This window comes from Homo sapiens, chromosome 9 (genome assembly GCF_000001405.40).
Source record: "Homo sapiens chromosome 9, GRCh38.p14 Primary Assembly".
In the NCBI taxonomy this organism is placed as follows: domain Eukaryota; kingdom Metazoa; phylum Chordata; class Mammalia; order Primates; family Hominidae; genus Homo; species Homo sapiens.
In genome coordinates, this window is record NC_000009.12 from 65281899 (window position 1) to 65307988 (window position 26090).

The 26090-nt window shown below is 39.2% G+C and overlaps 1 protein-coding gene and 1 pseudogene across 1 annotated transcript, besides 3 other annotated features; both read right to left on the reverse strand.

Annotated features, from left to right (window-relative positions):
* Positions 1-202: 202 nt before the first annotated feature.
* Positions 203-3311, reverse strand: FOXD4L5 (forkhead box D4 like 5). The gene has a single exon (NM_001126334.1). The coding sequence runs from the start codon at positions 2477-2479 to the stop codon at positions 1229-1231; it is 1251 nt and encodes a 416-aa protein (NP_001119806.1). The 5' UTR covers positions 2480-3311; the 3' UTR covers positions 203-1228.
* Positions 1304-1835: an enhancer, noted in NCBI's record as "H3K27ac-H3K4me1 hESC enhancer chr9:70176808-70177339 (GRCh37/hg19 assembly coordinates)". NCBI's record gives its function as "activates a minimal SCP1, AML or CMV promoter by ChIP-STARR-seq in naive H9 embryonic stem cells {active_cell/tissue: H9 hESC(naive)}" and the evidence as "EXISTENCE:reporter gene assay evidence [ECO:0000049][PMID:30033119]".
* A 2070-nt stretch (positions 3312-5381) lies between the features above and the next one.
* The window catches only part of ZNG1DP (Zn regulated GTPase metalloprotein activator 1D, pseudogene), a 34003-nt pseudogene continuing 13294 nt past the window's right edge, over positions 5382-26090 (reverse strand).
* Positions 23914-24440: an enhancer, noted in NCBI's record as "H3K27ac-H3K4me1 hESC enhancer chr9:70199418-70199944 (GRCh37/hg19 assembly coordinates)". NCBI's record gives its function as "activates a minimal SCP1, AML or CMV promoter by ChIP-STARR-seq in naive H9 embryonic stem cells {active_cell/tissue: H9 hESC(naive)}" and the evidence as "EXISTENCE:reporter gene assay evidence [ECO:0000049][PMID:30033119]".
* Positions 24441-24965: an enhancer, noted in NCBI's record as "H3K27ac-H3K4me1 hESC enhancer chr9:70199945-70200469 (GRCh37/hg19 assembly coordinates)". NCBI's record gives its function as "activates a minimal SCP1, AML or CMV promoter by ChIP-STARR-seq in naive and primed H9 embryonic stem cells {active_cell/tissue: H9 hESC(naive and primed)}" and the evidence as "EXISTENCE:reporter gene assay evidence [ECO:0000049][PMID:30033119]".

Genomic DNA, 26090 nt, shown 5'->3' on the forward strand with positions numbered 1-26090 from the left:
ATGTAATAAACTACTTATTCATGTCACATCTATTTATTTTCTGCCTTATACCAAGCTTGTGGGATTCTCTTAAATACAACATTTTTATACTTACACCTATGCAATACCCATTAGCATCGCCTTCCTAAATCAGGGGAAATTCAGACTCTGTAAGGTGGAGTAACTTCCTAAGATGTAAAACTCAGCATTGAAGTCCGTATACTTCAATATCCTCCCCTCTTCTCATTTGTCTTTACTGCCTTTTATGTATGTGTTAGATATTCAATAAATTCTCTTTTTTAAACTGAATTGAAGCCGTGGAGCAGTGTTTTGTTGAACAATAAATATGATATAGGACACTCTTCCTCCCTTCCATTTATGATCCTGTTCATGAAAAAGAGAAATTCTTTCATTGTGCTAGAAGCTTAAAATAATGAAAATGCCACTTTCTACATTAAACAGAAACTGAAGGGAATCAAGGTGAATTGCAAGAGACATAGAAAACAAGTGGGAAAGAAATCTAGTATAATTTGCCCTTTGTGTACCTTTATTACTTAGCGTTTGAGTAAATGATTCCCCCAAATATCTTCCCATCTTAATTCATGTCTCTAAAGTAGACATTTATGTCTCACCTTGTCAAGAAGGGCAAACTCTAACATAAACATTTCCCAAAAATGCTTCCTGCTAAAACATAAGCTCAGTGTGGCTAGAAATGCAGCTCACTTCATAAAGATTAATTGGTAGCTAATTTTGCATGCTGTTCTCTGAACTTCAGTGAAACCTGTCCATCAGGCATACAGGGAATGACGGAAAAGGTGACAACAGAAGATGAATGCTATGTCACTAACCTTCAAAGATGACAATGTGCAAATCGGGACAGCCATAGAAGCCACAACCGAAGGCAAGAAAAGATGACTTGACGCCCTGCGAAGGTTACGTTCAGGTGGTTTTTAGAGGAACGTAATCCAGCTTAGAGGAATGTAATCTTTCTAACCATTTTGCAGCGAACGAACAGAAGTTCGTGTTTGCTCTCCAGCGGGATTCAGATGCACACGCCCAGTATGGGCCGCGCAAGGTGGAGTGAGCAGCTGCGGGTCGCTCCCCACTCCCACCTGGCTCTAGGAGGGCCCTGCGGAGTTGGCCAGGGAACTGGGCGTGGGCGATACTAAAAAAACTGGTGAGGTCCCCTCTCCGCCCAAAGGGGCAGCCAGCGATGTCAGCCTAGAGCCCTCCGCCACTGCCTGATACCTCAGCAGCGCCGACGAGGCCGACAGGTGCCCGCCCAGCACCGCGCCCTTGGTGGGAGCGCAGCCGTTGGCGCAGTCCTCCTGATGCTGCTGCTATTGCTGCAAAATTGTCCGAGCAGCAGCGGCGGCGGACACTTGCAGCAAAGGGGCAGCGGTTTGGGGATGCAACAGGCTTGATGGTCGCTGGAGCAGGTGGCAGTAGCTCCACGCGGTCGGGGACAAACTCTGCGCAGCCCCTGTACCCGCTCCCCTGACCCCTTGCATAATACTCTCAATGCTGAAAGAGATGCATCCGCCTCCCGGTGGCGACGCCAGACCCTTGCCCTCCTCCCAAGGCTGAGGACCAAGTGAGGGCTGCAGCACGGGAAGGGTGCCGGGGTCGCCAGGTCCGCGCCTTCTGCTTTCTTCGGTGCCCCGGCATAGACGGGGGCCGAGAGCAGTAGGTAGCGAAGAGGATGCGGGTGCAGCAGAGCGTAAGGGCATCTCCCGGGGGCGGTGTTGGGGTAGGCCCCCGGGACTGGCTGCGGCGGGGCAGGGGCCCCAAGCAGAGGGCCTGGGTGGGGGTTGTGCAGGGCGGCGTGCGCAGCAGGTAGAGGGAAGGGGTGGGGCAGGTGGGCTCCCGGGGTCAGTTGGTGGCGCTTGAAACGCTTCCTACGCCGGAGAAAGCTGCCATTGTCGAACATGTCCTGGGAGGCGGGGTCCAGGCTCCAGTAGTTGCCCTTGCCTGGGTGGCCCGGCTCGCGGGGGATCTTAACGAAGCAGTCGTTCAGCGAGAGGTTGTGGCGGATGCTGTTCTGCCAGGCGGGGAACTTGCGGCGGTAGTATGGGAAGCGGCCACTAATGAAGGCGCAGATGCCGCTGAGCGTGAGGCGCTTGTGCGGGTTTTGCAGGATGGCCATGGTGATGAGCGCGATGTACGAGTAGGGGGGCTTTGCCGGCTGCCGGGCATCTTCAGAGGCCGCCGCAGACCTTGGCGGTGCCCTGAACTTGGTGCCAAACTCTGAGGGGTCACTCGGGCCGCCGCCGCCCTCGATGTGCTCTCGGGGAAGCGCAACCCCGCCCCACCGGGCCACCTGCAGCCCCGGCTGGAGTGACTGCTCTAGGAACTGCTGTCTCGCCTCCTCCTCCTCGTCTTCCACCTCGTCTTCATCTTCCTCCTCTCCCAGGACATCGATTTTACCGTCTTCCCCATCGGAGTCCCGGAGGCTGCGCTGCGGTGTGGAGCGAGGGCGCTCAGCTCTTGGCAGGTTCATGGAGGAGCAGGTGCTTCAGTCGCAGGGGATGTGGCGGCCGATCACCTGGCCTGGGGCGGGCTGAGCTGGAAGCCTGGGATGAATGTTGCAAGAAGCAGCAATGCTAGTGGTTACCCTTTGGGATGTTTTCGTCTGCTTGTTTCTACTCCTTTGCAACAACGTCCGGCAAAGATGCCTTTGCCTTTTATAAAAGCTTCTTCAAGACCATGTGTGGTGGACTCCCCCCTTTATAACCCTTCTTCCCCCACCTCGGAGCGGTGCCACTTACTCCTAACGTAGTCCAGGGATGATGGTCTTCTGGGCAAACACTGTCCGGAGAAAAGCCCAGGCCCCTCCTCCTCGCACCCACCTGCCACCAAGGAAGATGCTCTACTCATCCGGTGCAGCCAGACAGTTGGCAAGCCTTTGCACGGGTTCTGTTAAGGCGCATTTAAACCCGCGCAAATAAAAGCGAGGTAGGAAAGTATGATACTCAACATTCTATGACCACCTCGACATGCAGCCTTCCCTCCTGGAGAAAAGAAATGGTGGGGCAGGAGGCTGAAATGTACACGGTTGTTTGTAAAGGAATGTGTAACCGTAAAAGTATGTTTTTGTGTTTCACAGCTGGTAATCACCCATTTTCATTGGTAGAGTCTGTCCTTACCCAGAATGGTGAGCTGAATTATATTTAAGGTTCTGACAATATTCCCAGGCTTCAGGGGGGTGTTGCTTTGCTCCTTCTACCTTCCTTCCCACCTCCCCAAGATGCTCTCCCTGACTCAAATTTTCAGAAAAGGTCCAAATGTCCCAGCACTAAATTGTGTAAGTTTATTCAGGGAAGGCAGGAGAGCTCACACGGAGTCCTCTGTCCCCTTGTAGCAATGGTTCTCCAATTTCTTTGAATATTTAACCACAGAAATACATTTTATATAACAATCTTACACATACAGACATAATACATAACTAAGATGGGTTTCACGAAACAATATACTTACACTATAGTGATCACTGATATTTCCTTTTAAAAAAAAATGGCCATAACCAACTAAGTTGATTTCACACATACCAGTATGGGCCCAGTTTGAAAAATCCTGTTCTTACAAAGTGGCCCCACATACAAGAAATGCACCCACTCTATAAGGGCTTCTCTTTCTCCCTTTCCTCCTTCCTTTCTTCATCCTTTATAACCAATTCATTTTTAGAGACAGGGTCTATGTTGCGCAGGCTGGCTTTGAATTCCTGGGCTCAAGTGATCCTCCCGCCTCAGCCTCCTGAGTAGGTGGGACTACAGGCGTGCCACTATGCCTGGCTCTGGCTCTTCATTCTTTTTCTTTTTTTTTTTTTTTTTTTTTTGAGACGGAGTCGCTCTGTCGCCCAGGCTGGAGTGCAGTGACACAATCTAGGACCACTGCAAGCTCCGCCTCCCGGGTTCACGCCATTCTCCTGCCTCAGCCTCCTGAGTAGTTGGGACTACAGGCGCCCGCCACCACGCCCAGCTAATTTGGTTGGTTATTTATTTATCTGGGACGGAGTCTCGCTCTGTCGCCCAGGCTGGAGTGCAGTGGGGCGATCTCAGCTCACTGCAAGCTCCGCCTCCTGGGTTCACGCCATTCTCCTGCCTCAGCCTCCCAAGTAGATGGGACTACAGGCGCTCGCCACCACGCCTGGCTAATTTTTTGTATTTTTAGTAGAGACGGGGTTTCACCGTGTTAGCCAGGATGGTCTCGATGTCCTGACCTCATGATCCGCTTGCCTCAGCCTCCCAAAGTGCTGGGATTACCGGCGTGAGCCACCGTGCCCGGCCTCTTCATTCTTTCAGAAATGTCAACATTAAGTGCTTTTACTGTAATAAAACTTGAGATTTCAATGAGGCAAGAAGGGGCTGCAGTGTTGCCTTTAAATCAGTGGGTCCTCATTCACTATCTGCACTGGGGAGGGGCAATATGACAGCACAACTGTTCATCTCACTCGCTCCACATCCTTAGAAGTAACACGATTTTTAGATTGGCTTCATGAAAATTAGCTCAGAGACTAAAGTAGCAATACAGAGGAATAAAAAAATATTTGTTATATAAATAAGGATCTTATTAAAATACTAAGTAAGATACTATGCCACGGTATATATTCATAATTTAAAACCCACCTACTTGGGAAAACTTTGAGGTGCCATCTAATAAAAAATGCAGCATGAAAGAATATTATGCCCTTGATAGTCACATAGTGTCTATAATTATGACAATGAATGTTCAGTGAGAAATCAAACGCCAACTGCAAGGGCAAAATATAATAAAAAATAGCTTAAAGTAGCTAGTGCCTTCAGGATAAAATCTGGAAAAGAGCTTTCTTGCTGATCTTTTTTTGAAACTTTGCTGCTCCTGAAGTTTTTACCCTTTAGGGCTCCTCAGTTTATATGAAGCTTGGAGGACAAATAACAGACAGGTTTGAGCCTAACAGATTTGTTTGAATCCCAAATTTACCAATGACTGCTTGTGTGACCTACTAAACTAAGCTCCAGGAGGGCCAGGCCACGTGTCTTATTCAACCACATAATCCCAGACGCCTCCTCCCCAGCGCCCCCCAGCATGTGAGGCAAATTTCCTCCATCAGCATAGGAATCGGATGACCTGGGAAAGGGAGTATTGTTAGTTTTCCTAGCGCCAGCTTCAATAGGGATTGGGGTTATTTAAAAATACAGGAGAAAAATAAGGAGGCGCTCAAAAACAAAACACAAAACCCACATTGATGGGGGTATGTCAAAGGGGGGAACAGGAGATAACTGAAAGAGTTCCCAATGGTCAAAGCTGGGAAAATTTGAGCAACAAAATAAAGTAGTATTAAATTGTAACCCAAAGTATAAAATATTCGTGTCCACACTGATAAACATAAATGATCAAACTAATAAAGCGAAAGGGACAACTGTCCCTTGCAGAAGAATTTCAATTAATTATGTAGATCACTCCCAAGAAAGTACACTACAACTCCCCATTCCTTTAGTGTGGGCTGTGCATAGTGATTTCCTTCCAAAGAGCACAGTATGAAATGGGGGAGAAGAGTAACTTTACAATGCAGAAACCTGACAAACACTCCTTCAGCCAGGTGATCAGGTCGTCAACATCAACATCAATAACAGTCATAACCTTTTATTTCATGTCATAAAATGGTGACACTTACTTGTGTTAAAAAAATTTAATAACAATGTAATCATTATATCTCTGCAATCAGCTGAAGTTCTAAGAAAAAATGACAATGTTGAAAGTTGTATCATCATTATTATAAACTTTCATGTTCAGTATATGTAAACTCCAAAGCCAATTTCAAAAGATATTTTTGTGAAATACCATTCTTTAAAAAAAAGGATATTATATATAATTGTATGAATGTTAAATGTTTTACAGTACTGATTTGCTACATTTTATGTATGCTGTAAAACAAATACCATTTTAAAGTATACTGGAATTCGTAACTAAAGTAATAAATAAATGCTTGAAATATACACAGTAGAAACTTATTTTTATTATCCAATCCTTTTGATAAGAAATGCCACTAGTGTTATGTACAAACTTGATCTTCTTTGAAATGTGTTGTCCACTGCTTTTCTGTTTCTGTCACAGTAGCTATAAACAGCTGTTTAAGGATATCCTTATCTAAATTTCTGCCTGCAAACAAAACAAAATATGACGTGATTACATTATGCTTATTAAAATGACACAGTTCACCTATCAATTCCAGTTCATTAAATGCTTTATGGTGTTTAGAAATTTACAAAAAGAATAGCAATTGAGTGATTCCATCTTTAACTTTCCAGGTCAGTACATCAAAGTCACATTGGTCCTTGGATTAACCACTTTTCTAAAACTGAAGAAGAACAAAAGTCCTAACAAGCTTTTACGAACGTTGTAACATGATAAAGATGAAACATTGACCACAAGCTTATTTAGTTTTAAAAGAGGACCTGAATGGTTAATCTGTTTAAGTGGCACATGATATCCCTTTCAAATATATTTTTCACTTTGTTTTAAAACTGTGAATCCTTTGAGACTTACCAATGAGGACCAATCAATTTGTTCTCTCAGTGTCATCCTTCCAGCTCACTGGAGTCTCCTCCAGATCATAGAGCTCATGGACACCCTGGACAATCACTTGTTGTGATTTGTCTTTGATTGACACCAATCCCTGCTCAAAGGAGAATTGACTGAACATTGATCAGCCTCAGTTCAAACTTAAAAGCAGAAATAGAGCATCAATGTTAATGGATTAATTACTGATATTCACTTAAAAAATACAAACTCTTAAGCTGAGAAAATTACTTAATTTCAATTATTTGTGAATTACAAGAAGTTTCTTAATGTTTTTAATTTTCAAAAAAGGTTTCTGTGTATTGTTTTTTTTTTGAACAATCCCCTTTTCTAATGATAAAGTTAATACATATATTAGGATGGTTTTTCAGTGTTATTTATCACAACCAAAACCTGAAACAAAATGATGAAATATGTATCATATCCTATTGATTAAAGATTTTATATAATGTTTCACAGTTTTAGTGGGAAAAGTTGAGAAGTTAAAGGAGTTTGGTTATATTAAATAATTTGTTTTAGAAATGGGTTGCAATCAATGAACAATGTTGAAATAAAGAAAAACTATTATATTTATCTGAATATGAGCTCATTGTGTACTGATTTGCAGAAATGAGAAACGAATTATCTGATAAACTGGCTCCTATGGGGATGAAATTAATTTATTTGAAATAATATTCTTAATTTACCAAAAACTTTGTGTACACTTGTGAACACACAAGAGTAGACACTCAACTGACTGGTTAAGCATACACTTTAGAATCACTGCTTCCTAGAAGAAATACCTTTCATGACTTAAATACCCAAATATCAAGTAATGTGAGTGGGTTTCTAAATACAGAACAAGAATTCTTCTAGTCCTTTGTAACTTTGTTTAGAGTATGACAAATGTTTAGTGTCTGCTAAATGCATCAGGAAGCATAATGTTCAGCAGAAGTGAGATTTGCAACATTATTTCTCTGTACTTGGGAACAGAGAGCAGAAGGTAACATTTCAAAGCGCACAGGTTTGTTCTAGCTGCAACCCTAAAGAAAGTTGTGCAAATAAATCAAGCCTTATGCAGTGATTTCCAAAGCTCCTTTTCAGTCATGAAAATAATAAAGAAAAATGAAAGTAGACAAAGATGATTTGTACTAAAACCAGTGTTTCTGTTTAAAACCAAATATAGTTTTTATAACAGCCAAGAAAAGGACTTTGTCCAAAAGTCTGCAACAGTAAACTGTACCTTCAGCCTTATGACCTCCATGCAGTGATTGTCCTTGTTTCTCACATTCTTTTCCCACAGGAGATTCTGTATCAAGTGACATATTTTAATAAGACCAACCATCGCTAATAGCAACAACTATGTAACAAAACCATTGATAAATCATTAATCAGTTAAAAATTGCATTCACCTGAATAAACATATTAAGATGTTCTTCCTTTGCATTTCCTGGTACTTCAAATGTGATTGTAACAATACTCTGTAAATCAAGGGAAATAATAATAATTCTTTATAGTAATATCAATGTTTTTTAAATCACAAATTTTAAGATGAAAAGGAACATATTCATGGAATTTTACATTGCTTAAACCATATATATTAGGTATTATACTTTCCTCAGCATATGTGCTGTTTTTTTTGGAATTAGCAACTCCATTTCCTACATTCTGCACAGGTACCAATGGATTTAGTATTTACACAAACTACTACCTTGTATTTTAAAAAACTCACTCAAAAACCCTGATGAAAGGGTCCTCATTATTTAATTCATTCTTTCGTGGATTCTCAGCAATAAGAATATATGTAACACATACAATGTACTCACTACACAGGGCCAGGTACTTTTGCCTGAGTCACCTCATTTTATCTTTTGACTTACTCTTCACAACAATCCTGGGGAGTGAAGATAACTATTTCATTTTATAAATTGGGGAAAATAAGGGTCAAAAAAATAAGCTACCCAGAGCCAGGAATAAAACTCAAAACCGAAGTAAATTTTTTCTCTTAAAAAAAAAATACAAAAGAAAGGCTTGGCTTATCTTTAACTGAATAAGCATGTGCCAAGAGGAGAAGAGTTCTTAGCGATGAGAATGATAGGATAATGCCCTCTTTGGCTTTAGTAAGGGTGACATCATCATGTATTGAATATTAACTTTAGGATTTATTTTTCTTCTTTATCTTGATAAATCTCTCACTGTCTACCCCAAAGAAACAGAAGCTTAACATTTCCTGTAACAGGTCACCTAATTAAAACCCAAACCTCCCTTTGCCAATATAACCCCAAATTTCAAACTCAGAGATGAAAATACACAAGGGCTAAGCATAACATTATAAAAACATACACCTCACCTTGGAAAATAGAGGCTCAAAAGCCAAGCTCAAAATGAATTTAAAAAGGTAGAAAATAATATACTAAAGCACATCTTTGAATAACTTCCTAGAACTGCGTATCTGGCCTAGCAATTTTACTCACCATTACATAATCATACAGGCTTACAGCAGAAAATACAAAAAGACCAAAACTATTTTATAGTCCAAACTCAAGAGAATCGCTAAAGTATTAAAGACCAATTTAGGCAGAAACATATGAGACATTTCTTTCTTTCCATAGGTTACTGGGGAACAGGTGGTGTTGGTTAACTTCTTTAGTGGTGATTTGTGAGATTTTGGTACACCCATCACCTGAGCAGTATACACTGCACCCAATTTTTGTCTTTTATTCCTCATCCCCTTCCCACCCTTTCTCCCTGAGTCCCCAAAGTTCATTGTGTCATTCTTATGCCTTTGCATCCTCATAGCTTAGCTCCCACTTATGAGTGAGAACATAGCGATGTTTGGTTTTCCATTCCTGAGTTCTTTCACTTAGAATAATAGTCTCCAATCTTATCCAGGTCACTGCGAATGCCATTAATTCACTCCTTTTTATGGCTGAGGAGTATTCCATTGTATGTATATATATCACAGTTACTTTATCCACGCATTGATTGATGGGCATTTGGGTTGGTTCCACGTTTTTGCAATTGCGAATTGTGCTGCTATAAACATGCGAGTGCACGTATCTTTTTCGTATAATGACTTCTTTTCCTCTGGGTGGATATCTAGTAGTGGGATTGCTGGACCAAATGGTAGTTCTACTTTTAGTTCTTTAAGGAATCTCCACACTGTTTTCCATAGTGGTTGTACTAGTTTACATTCCCACCAGCAGTGTAGAAGTGTTCTGGGTTCACCACATCCATGCCAACATCTACTATTTTTTTGATTTTTTTATTATGGCCATTCTTGCAGAAGTAAGGCGGTATCGCACTGTGGTTTTGATTTGCATTTCCCTGATCATTAGTGATGTTGAGCATTTTTCCATATGTTTATTGGCCATTTGTATATCTCCTTTTAAGAACGGTCTATTCATGTCCTTAGCCCACTTTTTGATGGGACTGCTTTTCTTGCTGATTTGTTGGAGTTCATTGTAGATTCTGGATATTTGTTCTTTTTCAGATGTATATATTATGAAAGATTTTCTCCTTCTCTGTGGGTTGTCTGTTTACTCTGCTGACTGTTCCTTTTGCTGTGCAAAATTTCTTTAGTTTAATTAAGTCCCAGCTATTTATCTTTGTTTTTATTGCATTTGCTTGAAATCCTTGCCTAAGCCAATGTCTAGAATGATTTTTCCAATGGTATCTTTTAGAATTTTTATAGTTTCAGGTCTTAGATTTAAGTCTTTAATTTATCTTGGGTTGATTTTTGTATACAGTGAGAGATGAGGATCCAGTTTCATTCTCCTACATGTGGCTAGCCAATTATCCCAGCACCATTTGTTGAAAAGGGTATCCTTTTTCCACTTTACGTTTTTGTTTGCTTTGTTGAAGATCAGTTGGCTGTAAGTATTTGGGTTTATTTCTGGGTTCTCTATTCTGTTCCATTGGTCCATGTGCCTATTTTTATAACCGTACCATGCTGTTTTGGTGACTATGGCCTTATAGTATAAGTTTGAAATCAGGTAATGTGATGCCTTCAGATTTGTTCTTTTTGCTTAGTCTTGCTTTGGCTACGCACATGTGTATGTTAAACCATCCCTGCATCCCTGGTATGAAACCCCTTGATCATGGTGGATTATCTTTTTGATATGTTGTTGGAATCAGTTAGCTAGAATTTTCTTAAGGATTTTAGCATCTATGTTCAAGGATATTGGTCTGTAGTTTTCTTCTTTGGTTATGTCCTTTCCTGGTTTTGGTATTAGGGTGATACTGGCTTCATGATTTAGGGAGGATTCCTTCTTTCTCTCTCTTGTGGAATAGTGTCTTTAAGACTGGTACCAATTCTTCTTTGAATATCTGGTGGAATTCTGTTGTGAATCCGTCTAGTCCTGGACATTTTTTTGTTGGTAATTTTTTAATTACCATTTCAATCTCCCTGCTTGTTACTGGTCTGTTCAGGGTAATTCTTCCTGATTTAAGCTAGGAGGGTTGTATCTTTCCAGGAATTTATCCATCTATTTTAGGTTTTCTAGTTTATGCATGTAAAGGTGTTCATAGTAGCCTTGAATATCTTTTGTATTTCTGTGGTGTCAGTTGTAATATCTCCCGTTTCATTTCTTATTGAGCTTATTTGGATTTTCTCTCTTTTCTTGGCTAATCTTGCTAACGGTCTATCAATTTTATTTATCTTTTCAAAGAACCAGCTTTTCGTTTCATTTATCTTTTGGATTTTTTTGTTGTTTTGTTTCAATTTCATTTAATTCCGCTCTGATCTTCTTTCTTCTGCTGGGTTTGTTCTTGTTTCTCTAGTTCTTTGAGATGTGACCTTAGATTGTCTGTGCTCTTTCCAACTTTTTGATGGAGGCATTTAGGGCTATGAACTTTCCTCTTAGCACCACCTTTGCTGTATCCCAGAGGTTGATAGGTTGTGTCATTATTGTCATTCAGTTTGAGGAACTTTTACATTTCCATCTTGATTTCATCTTTGACCCAATGATCATTCAGGAGCAGGTTATTCCATGTATCTGCATGGTTTTGAAGGTTCCTTTTGGAGTTGATTTCCAGTTTTATTCCACTGTGGTCTGAGAGAGTGCTTGATATAATTTTAATTTTCTTAAAATTTATTGAGGCTCATTTTGTTGGCTATCATATGGTCTATCTTACAGAAAGTTCATGTGCTGTTGAACAGAACGTATATTCTGTGGTTGTTGGATGGAATATTCTGTATATATCTTTTAACTCCATTTGTTCCAAGGTATAGTTTAAATCCACTGTTTCTTTGTTGACTTTCTGTCTTGATGACCTGTGCAGTGCTGTCAGTGGAGTATTAAAATCCCTCACTATTATTGTGTTGCTGTCTGTCTAATTTTTTAGGTCTATTAGTAATTCTTTTATAAATTTGGGAGCTCCAGTGTTAGGTGCATATGTTTAGGATTGTGATACTTTCCTGTTGGACAAGGCCTTTTTTTCATTATATAATGTCCCTCTTTGTCTTTTTAAACTGCTATTTCTTTAAAGTTTGTTTTGTCTAATATAAGAATGGCTACTCCTGCTCACATTTGGTGTCCGTTTGCATGAAATGTCTTGGTCCATCCCTTTACCTTAAGTTTATGTGAGTCCTTATGTGTTAGGTGAGACTCTTGAAGGCGACAGATAGTTGGTTGGTGAATTCTTACCTATTCTGCAATTCTGTATCTTTTAAGTGGAGCATTTAGGCCATTTATATTCAATGTTAGTATTGAGATGTGAGGTACCACTCTATTCATCATGCTATTTGTTGCCTGTATACCTTGTTTTTTTGGTTTTTGTTGTTTTTCTAATTGTACTTTTGTTTTATAGGTCCTGTGATATTTATGTTTTAAAGAGGTTCTGTTTTGATATGTTTCCAGGATTTGTTTCAAGATTTAGAGTTCCTTTTAGCATTCTTGCACTGGTGGCTTGGTAGTGGTGAATTCTCTGTTTGTCTGAAAAAGCTGTATCTTGTCTTCATATATGAAGCTTAGTTTTGCTGAATACAAAATTCTCAGCTGATAATTGTTTTGTTTGAGGAGGCTGAAGATAGGGTTCCAATCCCTTCTGGCTTGCAGGGTTTCTGCTGAGAAATGTGCTGTTAATCTGGTAAGTTTTCCTTTATAGGTTACCTGGTGCTTTTGTTTCACAGCTCTTTCTTTCATCTTAACTTCAGATAACCTGACGACAATGTGCCTAGATGACGATCTTTTTGTGATGAATTTCCCAGATGTTCTTTGTGCTTCTTGTATTTGGATCTAGGTCTCTAGCAAAGCTGGGGAAGTTTTCCTCAATTATTCCCCCAAATATGTTTAACAAACGTTTAGATTTCTCTTCTTCCTCAGGAATGCTGGTTATTCTTAGGTTTGGTCATTTAACATAATTCCAGATTTCTTGAAGGCTTTCTTCATATTTTCTTATTCTTTTTTCTTTGTCTTTATTGGATTCGGTTAATTAGAAGACCTTGTCTTCAGGCTCTGAATTTCCTTCTTCTACTTGTTCAATTCTATTGCTAAGACTTTCCAGAGCATTTTATATTTCTATAAGTATGTCCATTATTTCCTAAAGTTTTGATTGTTTTTTATTTATGCTATCTAGTTCATTGAATATTTCTCCCTTTACTTCTTGTATCTTTTTTTTTTTAATATCCTTACATTGGGCTTCACCTTTCTCTGATGCCTTAGCTTAATAACCAACCTAGTGAACTCTTTTTCAAGTAAGTCAGGGATTTCTTCTTAGTTTGGATCCATTGCTGGTGAGCTAGTGTGATTTTTTGGGGGGTGTTAAAGAACCTTGTTTTGTCATACTACCAGGGTCGGTTTTCTGGTTCCTTCTCATTTGGGTAGGCTCTGTCAGAGAGAAGGTCTAGGGCTGAAGGTTGTTGTTCAGATTCTTTCGTCCTACGGGGTGTTCCCTTGATGTAGTACTCTCTCCCTTTTCCTATGGATGTGGCTTCCTGAGAGCTGAGCTGTAGTGATTGCTATCTCTCTTCTGGATCTAGCCACCCAGCAAGTCTACCAGACTCCAGGCTGGTACTGGGGGGTAGTCTGCACAGAGTCGGGAGATGTGAACCATCTGTGGGTCTCTCAGCTGTGGATACCAGCACCTGTTCCAGTGGAGGTGGTAGGAGGGTGAAATGTACTCTTTGAGGGTTCTTAGCTTTGCTGGTTTAATGTACTATTTTTGTGCTGGTTGGCCTGCTGCAGGGAGGTGGCACTTTCCAGAGAGTGTCAGTTGTGGTAGTATGGAAAGGAACAGGTGATGTGTTGGGCTCTAGAACGCCCAAAAACATGAGATATTTAATCTCCACTGTTACTAGTAATAGAAAAAGCAGAAAAGTGCTTTCTTGCTTGATAAGAGAAGTGCAAGCAGACTAAAAAAAGGTTCAAATTGAACTTGCAAATGTGAGACTTTTAAAAGTACTTATTTTGTCACAGCAGTCAAGACACTAACAACCACCTAAATGTCCAGGACAGTTGAATGGATAAAATAAATGTGGTAATATACATACAACCAAATATTATGTATCCTTAAAAAAATCCTGTCATATACTACAACATGGATGAATCTTGAGGACATTACACTAAGTGAAATAAGCCAGTCACAGAAGGACAAATATTGCATGAATCCACTAATATCAGGTGTCTAAAACAGTAAAACTCATCAAATCAGAAAGTAAAATGGTGGTTACCAGGGGTTAGAGGGAGACGAAAATTGGGAGGTGCTGTTCAATGGGTATAATTTTAGTCATGCAAGATGAAAAGTTCTAGAGATCTGCTATATAACAATGTACAGACAGTTAACAATACTATATTGTACCCTTAAAAATTTGTGGAAGAAGGTAGGTCTCACGTTAAGTGTTTTTTACCACAATAAAAAATATACAGTCATGGATACATAAAGAGAAATGAGCTGTTGGGCAATTTTGTTGTTATACAAACATGATAGTGTACTTACACAAACCTAGATGGTATAACCTACTACACACCTAAGCTATGCTGTATAGCCTGTTGCTCCTAGGCTACAAACCTGTACAGCATATATGTTACTGTACTGAACAGTGTATGGAAATAATAACACAATGGTAAGTATTTGTGTGACAGTAATTTTTCAGCTCCATCGTAATCTTATGCAGTCTGACTAAAACGCTGTTATGCAGTGCATGACTATACTTATTTTTAAATCTTAATAAACATACTCTATTTTAAAACTATTTTTATAGCATAAGGTAATAATAATATGCATTTTTAAATGACAATTATTTTATTTCTTCATTAAAGGAATCACTACAATACCTAAAAGTCCACATAAAATATACAGCAAAAGGTTGTCAAATGAAACATAAATGTCAGTTAAAAAAATTAATTTAGTCTTCAAAAATGTTTAAAATGTATTTTAATGCAAGTTGGAAAACTATATTGAGAATGTTGCAAAATACGACTCAAAATTGCTTTATTGTTAAAGATTTTAACTGAATAAATTTTTTTGAGATGGGGTCTCACTCTGTTGCCCAGGCTGGAGTAGAGTGGCACAATCATGGCTTACTGCAGTTTTGAACTCCCAAGCTAAAGCAATCCTCCCACTTCAGCCTCTCGAGTAGCTGGGATTACAGGTACATGCCACCATACCTGGCTAATTTTTTGTATTTTTTGCAGAAATGGGGTTTCACCATGTTGCCCAGGCTGGTCTACAACTCCTGGGTTTTAAGCAATCCACCCACCTTGGCCTGTCAAAGCGCTAGGATTACAAGCATAAGCCACCACACCCAGCCGAAAGATTTTTATAATGATTTTTGCTTTTATCAGGTTAAATATGTGACTTAATATTTTTAAGGGGTACAATAAACTCCAGTATGAGACACAAAAGGCTTTAAAAATTAAGATAACGCATCACGGGGCTCAAGAAGGATGATCTATATTTTGGAACCAGATGTTTTCCTACACCAATAAACTCTTTTCACGTTAGAAAAACCCTGAAAAAATCTGTAATTCCCAGTGCAGAAGATAAGGGTCACAACTCATAGTTGGTTCTAATAATAAACTAAACATTCTTTGTCACTTGGGTTTTCTCATCTACCTTCCCATTCTCCAAACCCAGGTGTTCCTTATGGGGAATAAACAAAGAATCCATGAAAAATAGATAACTGCATTAAAAATTCAGGGATAGAGCCTTAATAACACATATATACTAGGTCCTAGGTATTACCCATTTCAGACTTTTTTTTTCCAGTTTTTGTTTTGAATCTAAAATTAACTCCTTTTTCCATGTATGCTGACAGAGAAAGAAACAGAAAAGTGAGGCAATAATTGAGAAAACTAAAGCAAAATGAGGAATTGCCTCTAAAATAAAATTTAGGAACAACTTACTCAGGTTTGTTTATTTAGTCTGTTTCTTCTTTAACCCACTGGGTTATTTCTCCATTTTCTACTCTTTTGCAAACAATACCTAACATACAATAACTTTTATATGTTTTCTTCATCCAGAACACTAAGCCCCCTAATGTGCTTAAACTCAAAATCTGTACCTTCACACTCTATCCCTCCGTTCTTCTTTGCCTGTATAATATCTATACTATAATATCTGGCCACCAGGGACAACTGAATATATGGCATTATCATCCAAATCACTTTGCCTTCCCGATTTTTCTATTTCTAGGTTTCTCTAGTCAATCTAGGCTTGTTTCCCATCACCCCTTCTTTTCTTTCTGATCCATAATCAGTCAGACAGGATATTCAGGCAAGTCTACTGGTGAAACAGCTCTGGATTTATCCCATTTCTAGTCTCACTGTAACCAACATGTTTCAGGCCCTTATCACACAGTATCTTCCCGCATGGTCTCCTGACTCTAAAGTCCAATCTAGCTTACATAACACTCCTAGACAGCACTGCTTGAGTTCTCTTTGTCTAGCAAATTAAAACCTAATACCTTAGACCAGGATTCCAGTACCAACTCTCCACTAAGACTTCTGTACCAGAGACCTACTCATCTATAAGATTCTCACCTTCTCATTTTTAAACATCCGTATTGCTCTTTTCCTTACTTCTTCCCGTCAAAAAAAATCCTACCGTCAAAAAAAATCCTACCAGTTCAAGTTTATTTTTTGTTAAGTAAGTCAGAATAGCACTTACCCCTTCTTTGACTAGGAAGGGGCAAAAAGGAACTCTTTACAATTTTGGATATCTTTTGTATCTTGACCTGAGTGGGAGTTAGAAGGATATGTGTTTGAATGTGCATATAGACAGATATATAGGTACAAATATATGTAAAAATACATTGAGGCCGGGCACAGTGGCTCACGCCTGTAATCCCAGCACTTTGGGAGGCCGAAGCAGGTGGATCACCTGAAGTCAGGAGTTTGAGACCAGCTTGGCCAACATGGTGAAACCCCATCTCTACTAAAAAAAAAAAAAAAAAAAAAAAAAACAAAAATTAGCTAGGCATGGTGGTACATGCCTGTAATCCCAGCTACTCAGGAGGCTGAGGCATGAGAATCACTTGAATCTAGAAGGAGGAAGTTGCAGTGAGCCAAGGTCACACCACTGCACTCCAGCCTGGGTGAGACTCTAGCCGGAGTGAGACTCCGTCTCAAAAAAAACCAAAAAAACAAAAACAAAAACAAAACCCAAACATTGAATTGTACACTAAAATTACACATTTGCATGCTTTACTGTATGCAAATAAATAAACCAAAACCAAAAGAAACAAATGAAAAACTATCCTCATGAAGCATTTGATGGGGTTCAGGACATGCTATCCCAAAATATGGCAACTCAATATTTGAGAAAATGGCAGAATCAGGAAGGTCACTCTCACCTTCTCTCCTGAAGCAGGTCATAAAACCTAGGAAAGATTTTCTGACCTTCCGCTGATGCAGGTCATAAGACCCTCATTTAAGAGGTGCCCTCTCTATACACAGAGGAAAAGAACATCCTTAAGTCTGAATATGAAGGGTCACAGAGAAAAATCTGAGCAAACAGGCCTTGCTAAGTTCTTCCCAGTTTATTAGATCATACTGTTTTATCTAATTATGCTTCTCCATTACTATCCTCTTCCATATCATAACTAACAGAAAACATACACAGGTATGTTTTATGAAGGCTCCTGTGTCAAGTAAAACTTACTAAATAAATTTCTATGTTGAAATTTCTCTTGATAGTTGGTCTTCTGTTAGAGAGACCTCAGCCATGAATCTAGTGATAGGTGAGGAAAAGATAAATTTCCTCCCTTACACCTCAGATCCACTAAACCAAATGAAATTGTTCATGCCTCTGAATCCCATAGCCCTTTGGCTGTGATACTATTTTTCCCTATGTTTATATTATCTAAAGCAGGACAGTGCATCAGAATCTCCTACAGAGGCTACAAAAATACAGATATGCCCTATTTAGTAGTAAAGTGACATAATGTCTGGAATTTGCTTTAATACACTACACCAAGGGCAATAGGTACATAAAGGCTCATTATACTATTCTACTCTTATGTACGTTTGAAATTTCCTATTAAAATACATTTGTTTTTTTTAAATACTCCAGGCAAAAGAAATGTTGGGAGGATAGGTGAAATAAAATCAGCTAAATGTTGATGCCATTTAAACTGGGTGATGCATACGAGGAGTTTACTTTACTATTCTGTTTATTCTTTTATATCTTTGAAATCTTCCATAATAAAATGTTAAAAATATACATTAATATACACATACCCAAGTCCCAATCCTGGAGACTGAGGGGTGAGAACTACTGAGTTATCGAATTTTTTTTAAAAAAGCTCCACATGTGATTCTGATTTATACCCCATTTGAGAAACACAGCTTTTCATTCTTTTAACAAATATTCACTGAGTATCCACCAAGCCCTGTACTAAGCAATAAAGATTTTATATTTAAGGAATTTATAGACTAATGCAAGGCAAAAGCATTTCAACCAAACTACAAGGCATCATAACTGCCACAATAGGGGTTCATTCGAGATTCTATGGATGGAGACACTGGCTGCTCCAAATGTTCATGGTAAGTGAGTACTGCGTTTTCTTCATCTATTCATCCCTATGATTCTTGGCATCACGTTCTTTACCCAGAAGCTCAAATGTGCTTCATGTTCAACTATATGACAGATACTGACTATCATAAAGAACTGGGTTTTTTTTTTTTTTACCATAAATTCTATCTCCAAGGACTTGTATTTCTCTCATTTATTCATTTTAAAGATAAGTGAAGAGGAATATCCTATTAACAAAAGTTTCACAGGGAAAGGTGCCACAAACATAGTAGCAAACCTGCTCATAAATATGAACCAAAATGAATACAAATGCAAGTAGCTGTTATCTTGGCCCTATTACAACCAATAGCAATTCAAAAATTGAGTGATCACTTGAGAGAGAGGAAGGAAGATTAGGCACACTGCTCACTTACACATCCCCCACTCCAACCCTCAGGGTTTTAAGAGGAACAAAGAAGTTATCCTAAACCTCTACGATCTATGATCTGCTTAACAGAAACGCAGGTACAGTAAAATTATATTTAAATTGTTCCTAGCATCTTAGATATTTACCTTAGGGATTAGAATTTTAGAGCATGAAAAACATCTTAAGGAGTTCAAATTTATAGTGCTACCTGAAGGTGAAACTCCAAGTCAATTTTTATTTAAATAAGCCATGCTTATATCAGACCTTTCCTTAAACAATTCAACATACTTAAAAACAGACTGCCTATAGAACCCCCAGGCTGCTTTTAAGGAGTAATCCCTATCAGAACTAACCAATATGCTAAGCAATCTACAGAATGGAAAGGCTAGAAAGCATGATTTCCTCAGATTCTAAAACAAATCTGGTTTGATGAATTCCTATTATGTGTTAAGAAATAGAATTAGACTATGTCAAAAGCATTTAAGATTCCAAAAATTATCAACACAGTTCAAAAATACCATTTTAGAAAAAGTTTATAATAAAATAGTCCTAAACATTGCCTATCTAGTTAAAGAGGTCCTTTAAAAACATTGATTAGGAATTTCAGATTTAGATTTTTTTTCTTTACCTGATCAAGGTGAGGTTGTGTTCCTGGCACATGCTGAAGTTTTTTCTGCAAACTAAAAACAACTGATTAGAAATTCAGAGATTAATACACTTCTGATTTAACTTTATACGTTATTTAGTGACACAAGGATAATGAAGTGACTTTCCATAACTGACTATTCTAATATTCTGTAATTCCAATTTTACAAGTTGTTTGCAAATTCCAATAGAGAAAAGCTGGCAGATTAAGTTTTTTTAAAATTTCTTAAAAAAAAAACACACATTCATATATATACATATGCACAGAATAAAGAGAAAAACTAGTCTTTTAGCAACACTATTTTGTATGGTTAAATATGTCAGTAAATTTCTTTACCATTCCAACAGGTTTAATACAAACTTAAATATATATATAACCATTCTAGTATTGCTTAGAGTTCCTTAACTTTCTCCTGCTTCCTAATATGAAAATAATGCTGGCACCTAAAGAAAGTTGAAAGGATAAATTTTCCTTTATCAATGTTTTCCCTTGAACTTATTAAAAAAGAAATAGTATCCATAAATATAAATTTTCTATATAGTCAGTTACCAATTGAGAGAAAAAGAAAGTCAGAATGTTAAAAATGCATTGTTCTGATATGAAAAGCACAAGAAGATCAACATGGCATAACAAATTACAACCATAATAACTGTAGCATACATTTCAACACTGATGGGGACAGGACGGGAGGGGGAAAGGACTGAAAACCTTGCAGATGCTTTGCCTTGAAAACAGTGAGGGGTAAATTAGTAACAGCAAGTTTAGGAAAGAGAAAGAACTTGTAGGAACTATTGGAGGGAATGAGTCTCTTTGGGGGGGTCCTAGTAGGGAGAATGTCAAATTAAATCCTTCCCAGCTGGTTGCTCAGGAAAAGATTCTCCTGTTTAGCAGTTAAGCACACACAAAAAAGTCATGCAACGGCCTTCCCTATAGTGGTGAGATCACATTAAAAAGCTACTTCAAGTGTCACTAAAGCATTATAACTGCTCTTAAGTGTATGTAGAATGAGATTACTTTAGAAAAACATTTTGAAAAATCATATGCTTTTCCCATATGTTCAGTATTTAATGTTGTTGGACAATGACTGCCTAAAACTTCATATGCAGCAAAAAAAAAAAAAAAAAAAAAAAATCTAACAACGAACATTTAAGTTTAGTTCCCATAAGTCTCAGAATTTCATGCCCTCGATTTTTTCCCTATCATACACATTTTTAAAAGACTAATCTAGTGGATAAGGATATGCTATCAAAACCTGAAACTCATGAATCGGAAATCATCTTGCACATTAACTTGTAATCTTATAACAATTTTTGTCTCTGCACACATAAAATGTAAATTCTGCACACATAAAATGTAAAAAATCTCAAACAGTTTAGTGTTTTGTATATTTAAATCATTATGTTCTATAACAAACAATAATTTAGGTATTGTCAGTAAGATGGAATTAGCAACATTTCTATTTCTCCCAAGTAAAAATATAGAATGATATAAAGAACTGGATGCCTTGATGAAAGTACCTGTATTACAGCAAATTATAGCAAAAGACAGAAGTAGAAAGGAAAAACAAAAATTGATATACTGAATATAGAGGTGGGAAATGATTGCATACTATAATTCTTATTAGTGAAATAAAGCACTAAAGGATACAATATGTAAAGGGAAAAAATAAAATTTCAACTAAAAAATATTCTAGTGTTTAACATATTAAATGACAACCAACTTGTAAGCTCTTGGACCCAACAGAGATAAATTAGTTTAAGAAAGGCAAATTTTGCTGGGTTCAGTGGCTCAGGTTTATAATCCCAGCACTTTGAGAGGCCAAGTAGGAGAATCACTTGAGGCCAGGAGTTCAAGATGAGCCTGAGCAACGTAGCGAGAGCCTGTCACTACAAAAAAGTAAAAATAAAAAAATTAGCCAGGCATGGGTGCAAGCCTGTAGTCCCAGCTACTCAGGAGGCTGAGATGGGAGGATCACTTGAGTCCAGGAGTTCACGACTGCAGAGAGCCATGATAGCCACTGCATTCCAGCCCAGGTGTCAGAGTGAGACTCTGTCTCAATAAAATAAAATAATTAAATAAATATAAAAAAAAGAAAAGGCCAAGTGTGGTGGCTCATGCCTATAATCCCATTACTTTGGGAGGCTGAGGTGGGCAGATCACTTAAGCCCAGGAGTTTAAGATCAGCTTCGGCAACATGGCAAAACCTCATCTTCTACCAAAATAAAAAATTAGCCAGGCATGGTAGTGCGTGCCTATAGTCCCAGCTACTCATGAGTCTGAGGTGGGAAGATGGCTTAAGCCCAGGACACAGAGGCTATAGGGAGCTGACATCGCACCACTGCACTCTAGCCTGGGCAATAGACCCAGACCCTGTCTCCAAGGGGAAAAAAAAAAAAAAAGAAAGGCAAATTTCATGCAGCATTGTTTCATTTGTTCCCCTTGTAAACACATTTAAATGTATCACAGGATCTGTAACTATCAAAACTGCCCACAGCATCAAATTAAAAATACAGTTCTAATCCAGACACGGAGGATGAAAGGGATCATGGCTAACTAGTGAAACAGCACTGATAGTCAAATGAAGGGCTGGAACCTTGAAGTAAAAAGAAGAAAAGGATCATCGAGAGGAAAGTTAGGATGGGCTAGACTTCTGGTTATTTCAGAAATGGGTAGCAAAAGACAAAGGCTCTTAACCTCCCAGAATTAGGTGACAACCTCAGCCAATCTATCTCCCTAGTAAAGCCAGAAATAAGATGGGAAAAAAAGACCATTTTTAAATGAACAAACCAAATTTATGCTTAGGGCTGTATTCGCTTAATGGAGGAACAGTTATTTCAAAATTAGTAAAACAAAAGCTTTATATGAAAAAACATAGTATAATTCTGAATGATTTTCATACAATCATTATCAAGCATAAGTGATACTGGATACCTGAAGCTGACATGAGGGAAAAAGGCTCAGGGAGATTTCACAACTTTGTACAGCAGTGGCTTGAAAGGATATAACTATATTTACCATAAAACAAGAAATAGTCATTTTTACCTTACACAATTTATAAGAATTTTTAGAAAAATAGAAATAACTCACATGTAATTCAGGTATACCAAACTTTCCTGCCTTCCTACTAAATGGAACTAGAAAAGCAAAATGCTGATTTTTTTCCAGGTACTCCAAAAATACCTTTATAATTTTAACTGTAATTTGTTTAGTCTAAAAAGGTACTGCTCCAATACCAGAAGCTACAGGTGAAAAACATATCTCTCAACTGAAGACAACTTCTTGAATAACTGTGTCACTGACAAGTTTACTCTCTGAGCTTCAGTTTCCAAACTGAGAAGGAGGAATAACTGCCCTGCCTGTCCCACACTTCTGGCTGCTGAAATAATCTCAATCAATTTCTTTTTTCTTTATTTTTTTTTTTACAAACTACATGCAAATTTAGTTTTTCCAATTCATAAAGTAAAAGGGGTCCAATAAAACACTATCATGTCCTACCTCACAGGTTACTGTAGGTATTGTTTTCAAAATGTGAACAATACCACAGACTGAAGGTGGAAAAAAAAACTAGTTGAAAGTATAATTAGTTTTTAAGGGCATGGCTAAGGCAAAATTAGAAATACATATATAAGGCTGGGTGTGGTGGCCTACACATGTAATCCCAGCACTTTGGGAGGCTGAGGCATGAGGATCACTCGAGCCCAGGAGTTTGAGACCAGCCTAGGCAACATAGCAAGACCCCATGCTTACAGAAAATTAAAAAAAAATTAGTCAGGCATGGTGACACATGCCTGTGGTCCCAGCTTCTTGGGAGGCTGAGATGGGAGGATCACTTGAGCCCAGGAGGTTGAGGCTGCAGTAAGCCATGTTTGTGCCACTGCACTCCAGCCTGAGTGACAGAGAACCCCATCTCAAAAAAATAAATAAATAAAAAGAAAAGAAATATATATAGGAATGGGAATTAGAACTCTCAAATGTAGAGCCACCCACTATGCCTACCCTTAAGCAAAATTGTCCCACCAATTCAAAATACCCAGAGACATGTCCATTTTCATGATCTTGTATGGACATATACGAGACTTATGAGATATTCATTGCAGCATTATTTGCAATAGCCAAGCTGTGAGAACAAGTTAAATGTCCACTAACAGAAAAAGGGATAAAGTAAATGTGGTATATGTAGAAAATGGAATATTATTCAGACTTAAAAAGGAAACCTTGCCATATGCAAAAACATGGATGAACCTTGATGACTTTATGCTACATGAAATAAACCAGTCACAGAAAGACAAATAATGCATGATTCCACTTGTGTCAGGTAATTAAAATAGTCAACCCCATAGAAAGAGTGTAGAATGGTGGATGCCAGGGGCTATGAAGACAGGGAAATGGGAAACTGCGATTCAAGGGGTATAAAGCTTCAGTTATAAAGAGTGAAACGTTCCAGAGATCTGCTGCACATCCTCATGCCTATAGTTAGCAATACTGTATTGTACACTTAAAAAATTGTTAAGAGGGTAGATCTCATGTTAGATGTTCTTACTACAATAAAAAAAGAAAAAGATACCGATGCACAAGAATAACTAATCTTTCTTCTCTCCCTTACCAAAAAGATTCCCCACAGGAGAAGGCAGAAAACTAATCCATTATTAAAGTGAAGAGAGGAGAGAGGAGCCAAGATGGCCGAATAGGAACAGCTCCGGTCTACAGCTCCCAGCGTGAGAGACGCAGAAGACAGGCGATTTCTCCATTTCCATCTGACGTACCGGGTTCATCTCACTAGGGAGTGCGAGACAGTGGGCGCAGGTCAGTGGGTGCGTGCTCCATCCGCGAGCCGAAGCAGGGCGAGGCATTGTCTCACTTGGGAAGCACGGGGGTCAGGGAGTTCCCTTTCCTAGTCAAAGAAAGGGGTGACAGACGGCACCTGGAAGATTGGGTCACTCCCACCAGAATACTGCGCTTTTCCGACGGGCTTGAAAAACGGCGCACCAGGAGATTGTGTCCCACACCTGGCTCGGAGGGTCCCACGCCCACGGAGTCTCGCTGATTGCTAGCACAGCAGTCTGAGATCAAACTGCAAGGCGGCAGCGAGGCTGGGGGAGGGGCGCCCGCCATTGCCCAGGCTTGCTTAGGTAAACAAAGCAGCCAGGAAGCTCCAACTGGGTGGAGCCCACCACAGCTCAAGGAAGCCTGCCTGCCTCTGTAGGCTCCACCTCTGGGGGCAGGGTACAGACACACAAAAAGACAGCAGTAACCTCCGCAGACTTAAGTGTCCCTGTCTGACAGCTTTGAAGAGAGCAGTGGTTCTCCCAGCACACAGCTGGAGATCTGAGAACGGGCAGACTGCCTCCTCAAGTGGGTCCCTGACCCCTGACCCCCTGGGAGGTCACCCCCTGGGAGGTAACTGGGAGGCACCCCCTAGCAGAGGCAGGCTGACACCTCACACGGCCAGGTACTCCAACAGACCTGCAGCTGAAGGTCCTGTCTGTTAGAAGGAAAACTAACAAACAGAAAGGACATCCACACCAAAAACCCATCTGTACATCACCATCATCAAAGACCAAAAGTAGATGAAAACTGCAAAGATGGGGAAAAAACAGAGCAGAAAACCTGGAAACTCTAAAAAGCAGAGCGCCTCTCCTCCTCCAAAGGAACGCAGCGCCTCTCCTCCTCCAAAGAAACACAGCTCCTCACCAACAACAGAACAAAGCTGGACGGAGAATGACTTTGACGAGCTGAGAAAATAAGGCTTCAGACGATCAAATTACTCCAAGCTACGGGAGGACATTCAAACCAAAGGCAAAGAAGTTGAAAACTTTGAAAAAAATTTTGAAGAATGTATAACTAGAATAACCAATACAGAGAAGTGCTTAAAGGAGCTGATGGAGCTGAAAACCAAGGCTCGAGAACTACGTGAAGAATGCAGAAGCCTCAGGAGCCGATGCGATCAACTGGAAGAAAGGGTATCAGCGATGGAAGATGAAATGAATGAAATGAAGCAAGAAGGGAAGTTTAGAGAAAAAAGAATAAAAAGAAACAAACAAAGCCTCCAAGAAATATGGGACTATGTGAAAAGACCAAATCTACGTCTGATTGGTGTACCTGAAAGTGACGGGGAGAATGGAACCAAGTTGGAAAACACTCTGCAGGATATCATCCAGGAGAACTTCCCCAATCTAGCAAAGCAGGCCAACATTCAGATTCAGGAAATACAGAGAATGCCACAAAGATACTCCTCGAGAAGAGCAACTCCAAGACACATAATTGTCAGATTCACCAAAGTTGAAATGAAGGGAAAAATGTTAAGGGCAGCCAGAGAGAAAGGTCGGGTTACCCTCAAAGGGAAGCCCATCAGACTAACAGCGGATCTCTTGGCAGAAACTCTACAAGCCAGAAGAGAGTGGGGGCCAATATTCAACATTCTTAAAGAAAAGAATTTTCAACCCAGAATTTCATATCCAGCCAAACTAAGCTTCATAAGTGAAGGAGAAATAAAATACTTTGCAGACAAGCAAATGCTGAGAGATTTTGTCACCACCAGGCTTGCCC

What these genes read in the sequence shown, in the direction of transcription:
- FOXD4L5 (NM_001126334.1), bottom strand. Translation starts at nt 2,479, where the DNA reads ATGAACCTGCCAAGAGCTGAGCGCCCTCGCTCCACACCGCAGCGCAGC.